We start from the raw sequence: 10,865 nt of genomic DNA on the forward strand, positions 1-10,865 counted from the left end.
TGTACTCCAGCCTGGGCGACGGAGTGAGACTCTGTCTCAAAAAAAAAAAAGACATACCTGAGACTGTATAATTTATAAAGAAGAGAGGTTTAATTGACTCACAGTTCTGCATGACTGGGGAGGTCTCAGGAAACTTACAATCATGGTGGAAGGCAAAGGGGAAGCAAGGCACATCTTCACATGGCCAGAGCAGGAGGAAGAGAGAGAGAAAAGGGGGAGGTGCTACACAATTTCAAACAACCAGATCTCATGAGAACTCTGTCATGAGAACAGCAAGGAGAAAGTTGGCTCCCATGATTCAATCACCTCCCACCAGGCCCCTCTTCCAACACTGGGAATTGCAATTCAACATGAAATTTGGGTGGGGACCCAGAGCCAAACCATATCAGAAGGTCTTAAGTCATCATCTACGGCAGGTGCTTGTGTTGGCCAGCCTATATTGCCCAAATACTCACCACCTCAGTGTATGCCCATAAGATTTGTAACTGGCAGCACCTGTCTTTGCTGAGAGCTTTTTCTGGTCTCCAGAATCCACTTTGTCGGCCTACAGGAGGTGAGCCAGAAGCACTGGGGCTTTAATACCCCCAGGAGCAGCCGTCAATCCATGATTGACAAGAACTGGTACAGAAACATCCTATAACCCCTTTGTTTTCAAGTAGAGTAAATCTTAGGCCTGAGTTCTACACTGGCTCCCAGTGTTCCTGGTGGGATTAAGCTTCAGGTACCCATAGTGGTAACTTGCTTGATGGTACATCCTTGCCTGTCTGCTTTCCCTTCCCTGTCTCACCTCCCCACTACCCTACGGGTGTTTTCTTCACCTCCCAATTAAACCACTTGCTCTTCAAGTTCTGTGTCAGGGTTTGCTTCTGCAAAAAGCCAAATGAAAACTCTCCCATATACAAATCCAAAGCAGATTATTGTCCTTCAAATTATTGTTTGTTTCCTTTAGAGCACTTATCTCAATATAAGATTATTGTATGTGTTTGTTTATTGTCTATCTCCCAAACAAGGTTAAACTCCATGAGTTTAGCCCGCATCTATATTCCTCCAGGCAATGTCCTCAGAACAACTGGCAAACCTTTGCACAAAGCAGGAACTCAATAAATGATTGTCAATTAGGTGAATAAATGAGTGAATTCTAAGGAAATTGATTCAAAACTAACATATGTACAGCCTATTTACTGAATTGTGTTTCAAGGAATACACACACACACACAAGTGTGTACAAGCTTATCTGATATGCAAGAATATCCTCCAGTCAAAACTGGAAGCTGAGGCTGACTGATTCTAGAGCATGTGCTCTAAACACCATAGTGACATTTTTTTCATTTGAAAAACAAAGTTATTTCCGTATGTTATTCCTACCACAGAGGTTTGTTGGAAGCATTGCATTACTGTGTATGTGACATGGCTTTTAAAAGCATAAAACAATCCCACCTCTGGCAGATACTGTTCACATCCATGCATGTGAGAATGGAAGTACATGACCCATGTCCTTGTCAAAGGTCAAGGGCATCCCCAAGGACATGACACCTGCAACCACAATCAGCTTTCTTACATAGATCCCTATTTATATTAGTAAAATACAGTGTTGCCCCATGTGTACATTTCTGTAGATAGAGCTAAAATATATTTTTTTCCTAACTGCTAGAACAAAGATTTTCTTAAATGAGGAAACCATATAATATCTTCAGTTGCTGTGATTTAGTCAGTGAGATGATTTTAGGATGCCAGTGAGGTGATTTTGAAAGTCATACTGTTTAAAGACAAATTTGGGTACTGTGAAAGCAAATATGGAGCAAGCTGCGATATGAAGTCACAAGCATGGATGGATGAAACTTGCAGAGGTGTCAAGAGAAAAAGCCCATCTCAGACCACTGGCTGGCTGGCTTCCAGCTTGGCTCTCTAGGTTCTTCTTTCCTTTCAGGATTCCAAATAACAAACGCCCCCCCTCCTTGCTTCATTTAGGGCAATTTTCACTCTGTTTCTTAACACCTGCCAACATCCATACCCACAGGACTTACTCCCTTTAAGTGGCTTTTTTTTTTTGAGATGGAGTCTCGCTCTGTCACCCAGGCTGGAGTGCAGTGGCACAATCTCGGCTCACTGCAAGCTCTGCCTCCCAGGTTCACGCCATTCTCCTGCCTCAGCCTCCCAAGTAGCTGGGACTACAGGCGCCCGCCACCATGCCCAGCTAATTTTTTGGTATTTTTAGTAGAGATGGGGTTTCACCGTGTTAGCCAGAATGGTCTCGATCTCCTGACCTCGTGATCCGCCCACCTCGGCCTCCCAAAGTGCTGGGATTACAGGCGTGAGCCACTGCGCCCGGCTAAGTGGCTCTCTTAAGTTGGGTTTGTCAAGAGCAGAGTCTGAGACAGGGATGCATGTACACAGTATTTACTAAGAATGTGCTCATGGGAAATTTGAGAGGAAAAGAGACAATGAAGATAAAGTGGGGGAAGGAGCTGAGCAGGAATATGATCACAGCTGGAGCTGAGCTTCAACCTGCTCCCATGGGGCTTGGGATATAAATTGTACCGTAATGTTGGCCCCACTTTGAGACAAGAAGCCAGCCAATTTGAACTGCTGTGTCAGTCCGTCATTGCCTTTGACTGCCTTGGGGGCAGAGGGTTGTAAGCTCCTGGCAAGGCCCTCTGGCTAAGGACATCATTTGGAGAAAGGACAGTTGTGTGCCATTAGCAGCCCATACTCATAGGACCTGGGAAATGGAGGACCAGCTGAGTAATGGGATCTGAGAAAGTACCACAAAGAGCCACAACAGTGGGTTATGAAGTCATTTTGTAAGACAGAGGCATTGGAGGTGACTGCGATCTTGGCACTTCCAATGTGCTCATTTGGAATTACACACCTGCACCTCCCCCGCCCCCCCACACACACCTTTTACATGCCTGTTGATGACTGGATTTAAAGCAATGATTATTTTACTTCTCTCTCTAGGGAGAATCCTCAGCCATCTTTCCCCTACACCAACTTCCATAATCATGCATTTTTCATTCATATCAAAGACAAACAAAAACTTAGGTCTTAACACATCCCATCATAGCTAATGTCAGGTGAGTGCTTTCTATATGCCAGCCACTGATCTAAGATCTCTATATGTGTTACCCTACTTAGCTCTTACACAAATGGGGGAGGTGTTACTAGTATCAATGTAAACTGCTCTGGAGCATAGAAAAAAGAAATTATACTTTCAAACTCTTTTTTTGATGCCAATATTACTCATATAACAAAGCCTGACAAGGAAGGAAGGAAGGAAGACAGGCAAGCTTTAAACCAATCTTGTTTATAAATAGCGACAGGCAAGAACAATGTAAGAACACTTATTATCACTATAATTACATAAAAATATATTTAATATAGCTAATACCCCATATAATGAAATGAGATAAAGAACAACAGGTATAAATATTGGACTACTAGAAAGACATAGACAAAAATATTAGTATGTGTGGATGATACAATATTCTCATCCATGAACCTATCTAATAATATACAATATTATACCCAAGAATCTAAGCGGTCCATTGTATTTTAAAACTCAGTGACCATATTTTTTCCTCCAAGGCATTTTTCTCTGATGTAGAATATCACTGAGTGTATAAAGATGCATCTTAGAAAAAGTCAAATTCGTAAGAATTTGTTCTGATACCTCAGATTGGTCTGCTTTCTTTTAATTGCTAACCCTTTTTTACATGTGGTTTTTCTCAGTTTGTTTATTCACCAAAAGGACCCATCTAGGTGTGTCCAATATTGACAGTTGAGAAAATTCTGCCATGACTCAGGTGGGACCATGTTGTCACATTTAGTTCCAGAGATAAACTTTATATTTACAGTGGCTTAATATTGTTGTATTGGGGTCTTTGGGGGCTAAACAGTGAAGAAAGGAAGGCATCAGCTCAAAAGCTGAATGAAAGAAAAATTGATCAGTATTCTGAAAGGTGGCTACTCAAACTCAAGTTGACTGGGTTATTCTTCCCTTTTCAAACTATTTCCGTGATGATAGGTATTTTAGGTGAATTTGTATATTAGTAAAATATAGTGTTGCCACATGTGTACCTCTCTGTAGATAGAACCAAAAAATAATTTTTTGAACTGCTAGAATATTTTTTTAAAAAGGAAGAAATCATACAATGATTACTTGCTATGATTTTGGTGGTAAAGTCAACTCTCTAATACATTAAATTGTAAAGATTTTAAAGGCAATATGCATCTTAGCTGAGAATCCTAAAGTAGGAATACACAGAAGGAGTGTGGGATGGTAAGGAAGCAAATAATCTTGCAAAGTATTTTCAACTCTCAAAAAATAAACTTGAAGCAGTAAGCTGTGCCACAACAGGAAATATTAGAGCTACACCAAATGCTCATTAAACATATCATCAACTGCTCTGAACAAAGCTGGGATTTACTTTCTGGGAAGCAGTGATATTTCCAGAAAATAAAAATGTAAATATCATTTTTACCTATTAACTCTAATTTGAGAATTACAAATTAATTACAAAAAATAGAAAAGATCAGAAGAAAAAGTATCAGAGTGCAAGTCCATTTTCCTAGTTCTACCACTTGGCTTTGTGAGCCAAGAAAAGTTACTTAACTTTCTGAGCCTAGGCTTTGAAATGGAAGCACTAATAACAATAATGTAGTGATAGACTATTGTTAAGGTGAATAAAAGAAAGGAGTAGATATAGTACAGCACCTTTTTGCAAGAGAAATAATGAAAGAAGACATTGTACGTGTACCTGCTCATTTTTGAAAAAGTACAGACAAGAAGGACAAACCAAAAACTAACAAAATTGGTTACCTCAAGGATATGAATGGGAATGGGGTAGAAGGGTTGGGGAGCATGAGGCAATACTTCTCTGATTAGTTGGTTTGCTGTAATTTCATCTTTGGAGTCATGTTTGTGTTTTATAGAAATAAAAAATAAAATTAAAATATTTACAAGGATGAGAGAGGAAACCCTATAATGAATGCAAACAAAAAGAAATATATCTAACTGTATTCCAAATGAATAGCATCACTAAACTGAAGGTGAAAATAAGAAGAACTCACCCAAGTAACTTTTTAAACACAGTATTTTGACTATATGCCTTCAGAGTAAGCTAAAAAAGAACCGTAAAGAAATACTGAACTATAGTTAGCAAAGTTTGTTTTTTTCCCCATAGTGGTACGTGTTAGCAATTCTAAAACTACTTTTTATGCATTGTAATTTTGAGATAAGTAAATATATTGAGAATGAGGAAGCTAAAATGAAATCTGTGGTGCTGGATTGAAATTGAAAGTTTCTTTTTATTATTGGCACAAACTCATGATATATAACATAGAGACAGACAGACAAATAGAAATGTGTGTACATTTACATGTACATACATATATTTTCTAGCTCTGTCTACTGAGAGTCTAGAAGCCATGACAAAGTATTAATAGTAGCAGTGAGCACACCAACTGCCCAGATCTTGGTTTCTAAATACCATTCTCTAATAAAAGAAACCAATGGTCCTTGGAAAATGGTTTGTTGCACAACAGGAGCTGGGAGAATACAAGATGACCCCTGAACATGTTGTGTCAGAAAGTGAAAGGATGCTCAAAATCTGATAGAGACATGATAAACAGACATGAGAGCTAACTTAAAGGAGCATGATGGGCTAATTATGGTACAATTTGAGTACTAAATAAAATAATGACAATAATCAATTAGAACATGCTGAATTAAAAGATACAGTGATACCCCAAAATAGAAACATAAGAGAAAAAAAAGCCTCACGTTTTATAGAAAAACACTAGCTAATAGATTTAGAAAGAATAATAATAGTAGGGAAAATCATTTTACAACTCCAATGTAATAATTGATTTAGGCAAGAATTATCAGTGGATGCTAACACCATTAGGTAAAAACTTTTGGGGAAACAACATATTCACATGGTCTCCAATTATCTCCTTTTTTTCCTGTAAGTGACTTCTCAATTGCAAAAGAGTAAGTTACCTCTTTAATGAGGGATGTCGAAAAATTACTTTCACTTAAGAAAGTTACCTATAGTAACTAAGAGCAAATAGCATAAAGAGAAAGAATAAGATATACAGGTCAACTCTCTAATGTTCAAGATTATTACACATACCATTGCCTTTGCAATAACACAAGAAATAGAGTTATAAGATGTAAATATTTTTCTGAATAGGTTAAGCTATCTGTGGATGTCATTGTGCCTAGATATTCAAGAGAATCGAAGACAGAAGATAAAAGGTTGATAAATTTGAAAACACTAAAATTCCAATTTCTTGAATAAGTTGGATTATAACTCAAAGAATAAAACAAATATTTATAAAGCTATGCCAACACAAATAAACAATTGAATGAATAAATAAATAGAGGAGAAGGGATAAAATGTCTTTACAAAAAAAAAAAAATCAAATAAATGTAGATTTTTCTCCCCGATCCAGGAAGTGAAGCTCAATTTCCTTCTTCTTAAGTGTGGGCTACATTTAATGACTTGCTTCTGACATATAGAGAATGAAAAGGGGGAAAACAGTGACTTTAAGCAGAGAAATCTGGCAGACATTACCTTAACCAAGTGATCGAGGTTAACATCACCAGTTATCACATCGTATCTGAGGGTACATAATATCAACATGACTATAAGTCATCATGTGATGAGGAGACATCTTCACCTCTGTCATGATCTTCCCCCAAATCCGTAACATCAGTCTAATCATGAGAAAATATCAGACAAACCCAAATTGAGGAACATTCCACAAAACACCTGACAAGTACTGTTCAAAAGTGTCAAGGTCATGAAAACAAGGAAACACTAAAAATTGTCAGATTATAGGAGAAAAATGAAACATGATGACCATATGTAACATGGTATGCTAGATGAAATCTTGGAACAGAGAAAGTACATTAGTATGAAAACTGAAGAAATTCAAATAAAATCTGTAAATTAGTTAATAGTATCATAAGAAATGTTAATTTCTTACTTTTGACAAATGTTTAATGATTGTATAATATGTTAACATTAGGAGAAGCTAGGTTAAGAGTACACAGGAAGTCTCTTGCTATCTTTGCAATTTTTCTCTAAATCTAAAATTATTTGAAGATAAAAGTTTTTTTTAACAAGCTTGATAATGATAAAAATTACTTGGATAAAATGTTGTACTAGAAAACCCCACCACAAATATAATACAGTGACAGAATTGAAATATTTACAATATGCATTGTAATAAAGTCATCACATAATGTAATATCTAAAGTTATAACATTACATAATATTAACAATTATATGTATGTAATCAAAATATATAAAGAGCTTCCACAAATCAATTAGAGAAAAGTAAACAATCTAGTATACTGGACAAAGTTTATAAACTTGGAAACAAACACAGAGAGAAGTATCCATGACCAATATTTCTATGAGAAGGTTTTGAAAAATCAGAAAAATGCAAATCAAAACAAAAAGATAACATCAGACTAGCAAATAATTGAAGGAATGCTAATAATGGAGATCTGGGGACATGGGAACTGAAATAGCCAGTGGATGTAAATTAGTGCAACATTTTTAGAAGGTAATTGAAATATATATCAGGATATTAACTTGGAATATTCTATATTCAACAATTGAACAATTAGGAATACAGTCTAGAGGAATGCTCTCACTCTTGAATAGATGTACAGAAAGCTAATTAAAAGTTTGGTTCAGAAAATTGCAAACAATCTAAATGTCCATAAAAGGGAAAATATTATTCTGGAAATTGAAAACAATCTAAATGTCTATAAAAAGGAAAATTTAAAATAAGAACATGAGTATACGGAATACTACGCAACTCTTAAAAGTAGAGAAGAGATGGTAGATTAGAAATATAGATAGATAGATACATACATACATATATAAAAGAGTTTCTGTTATCTTCTCTTTAACATAATTACTGTCCCTGTAATTTCAGAAATAAGCAAGGACAGTAAGTCAGACAAATACTTATTTTCTGACAATTTATTTGACCAAGATTTATATATCTTAGTACAGAAAACCTGTTTATTTTACATATATTTTTTGAAACAGGGTCTTGCCCTGTGGCCCAGTCTAGAGTGCAGTGGCATAATAATAGCTTACTGCAGCCTCAACCTCTCAGGCTCAAGTGATCTCCCCATCTCAGCCTCCTGAGCAGCTGGGACTACAGGCATGTGCCACCATGCCCCCTAATTTTTGTATTTTTTGTAGAGATGGAGTTTCACCATGTTGCCAGGTATCAAACTTCTCAGCTCAAGCTCTCCATCCGCCCACCTCGAAAATCTACTCTTTATAAGTATCTGATCTGGTCCATGTTAACTCCAAGAAGAGTAGTGTCTTCTTGTCTTTGAGAATCTTTTTTTTTTTTTTTTCAAGACAGGGTCTCACTCCATCACCCAGGCCAGGCTGGAGTGTAGTGGCACAATCGTATGCAGCCTTGACCTGGATTTCTGGGCTCAAGTGATCCTCCTGCCTCGGCCTCCTGAATAGCTAGGACTAGAGCTGCATGCCACCATGCCCAGCTAATTTTTAAATTTTTTGTACAGAGGCTGTCTATATTGTCTAGGCTGGTCTTGAACTCCTAGCCTCAAGCAATTCTCCTGCCTTGACCTCCCAAAGCGCTGGGATTACAGGCGTGAGCCATCGCACTTAGCCATCTTTAACAACCTTCAAATAGAAAAAATATATATCATTATTATTTTGACCTTGGATGAAATCAAGATACTCTGCATTCTGAGTAAATAGTGCTGAAAGAAAGCTAATGTTTCTGTGTGCTTGAAGTTGTGTCGGTGCATACTCATTGTTTTGCTTGTGTGTGTCTCTGTGTGTGCACCTAACGGTTTTTTTGTGTGTGATAATGTGTGACTGTGTGCATGTTTTAAAAATGGTCTGGTACGCATCAGTCCAAGAATTGTACAAATCCCCTGCTTCCTTCTCTTATTGGTTCCCTGTCTCCATTCATGACAGTTGTATTGGCATATGAATATATTCGTTCTGGTCAAATGATTCTGGATGAATGGCAACATTAATTTTTTTTAGCAGATATGTGTCAAACTCTATTGGTGTAAAGGAGGAAGGATGTTTTCACACCATATCTACAGCCACTATCCAGGCCAGTCTCACTTTAAAATATTCTGTTCTCCCTACAAATCAGAAAAACAATCTTTGCCATATCATGTATCTCAGAAATGCAAAGAACATGGCCATTAAAACCATACCAGAAAATACTGTTTGGCAATAAAATGGACCCAAATTCTGATATTTGCTGCCACATGAATCAACCCCAAAAACATTACATTCAATAAAAGCAGCTAAATGTAAAAGACCACATAGTCTGTGACTCCATTTACATGAAATGTCCAGAAATGAAAAACCTATACAGAAGGAAAATAGATTAATGGTTGCTTGAGGATGGGGTTTGGGAACTGAAATTATTTGCAAAATGGCAGGATATGCATTTTGGGATGATAATATTCTCAGAGTGAATTGTGGTGATGTTTGAACAACTCTGTAAAAATCACTAAACACTTGAAATTGGTGTATATTATGGTATATCAATTATTTCTCAATAAAGCTATTAAAAATATCGCAACAATCTTGTCAAGACAGAACTGTAAATCTCTGCAACACTTACACTGCTGGGGCCTATGTGATACTCATTGCCTCACTATGGCTACAGAAAACCCAGGATCAAGGGTCCAATGTTGACAATAAGAAATCCTGATGGCAAAAGAATTTAGGTGCCTTCCAGCTACTGTGGCTGAGATACTCCCATTACAGCATCAAACGACTAGAACAACTTGGAAGGCACCTTGCCTAAAATATCTACCATCTGGTTGCTGGCCCCTCTCAAAACTCACCTGCCAACAATCTACTGTTAGACAGCATGATCTCTTCATGATTCTCTGCTATACACCTAGGATGTCTTCATCTAGAGTTTTGTAACCTTTAGGTCATCAGCAAAATCCAGTGATATAACAGTCACATAATGAATAAAAGAAAAGCCACCCAGTAAGAGGTGGTCATTCCTTCCCCCACACACCTGTTAGCGCACCAGAAATGACTACACAGGGAGATAAGCCATTATAGAGTTTTATCCCAAATGTTGGAGGTTCAGAAGTTTCTCTCACTTGGTTAAGCTTAGGATAAGGAAGACTCTCTAGAAGAAAGGACAATGAGAGTCTTGAAGGGAATCTTCATGTGCTGAGGCTGTAAGAAATCTTCAGGTAGCTGGTGCATGAGATATAAGTTGAGAGCCAAGAAAGAGTCCAGGAAGGGATAATGAGAAGGGTGTTTGAGTTCTTCTGTGTCCAGAATTGGTGGGTTCTTGGTCTCACTTCAGGAATGAAGCCGGGGACCCTCGCCGTGAGTGTTACAGTTCTTAAAGTTAGTGTGTCCACAGTTTGTTCCTTCTGATGTTCCGACGTGTTCGGAGTTTCTTCCTTCTGGTGGGTTTGTGGTCTTGCTGGCTTCAAGAGTGAAGCTGCAGACCTTCGCGGTGGCTGTTACAACTCATAAAGGCAGTGCAAACCCAAAGAACTAGCACCAGCAAGATTTATTACAAAGATCAAAAAAACAAAACTTCCACACTGCAGAACCGTACCAGAGCAAAGTGTTCTGCTGACTTGGGCAGTCTGCTTCTATTCCCTTATCTGACCCCACCCACATCCTGCTGATTGGTCTATTTTATGGAGAGCTGATTGGTCCGCTTTACAGAGAGCTGATTGGTCCGTTTTGACAGGGTGCTGATTGGTGCATTTACAATCCTTTAACTAGACATAAAAGTTCTCCAAGTCCCCACTAGATGAGCTAGACACAGAGCACTGATTGGTGCATTTACAAACC

Source organism: Homo sapiens, chromosome 3 (genome assembly GCF_000001405.40).
Source record: "Homo sapiens chromosome 3, GRCh38.p14 Primary Assembly".
NCBI classification, from domain to species: domain Eukaryota; kingdom Metazoa; phylum Chordata; class Mammalia; order Primates; family Hominidae; genus Homo; species Homo sapiens.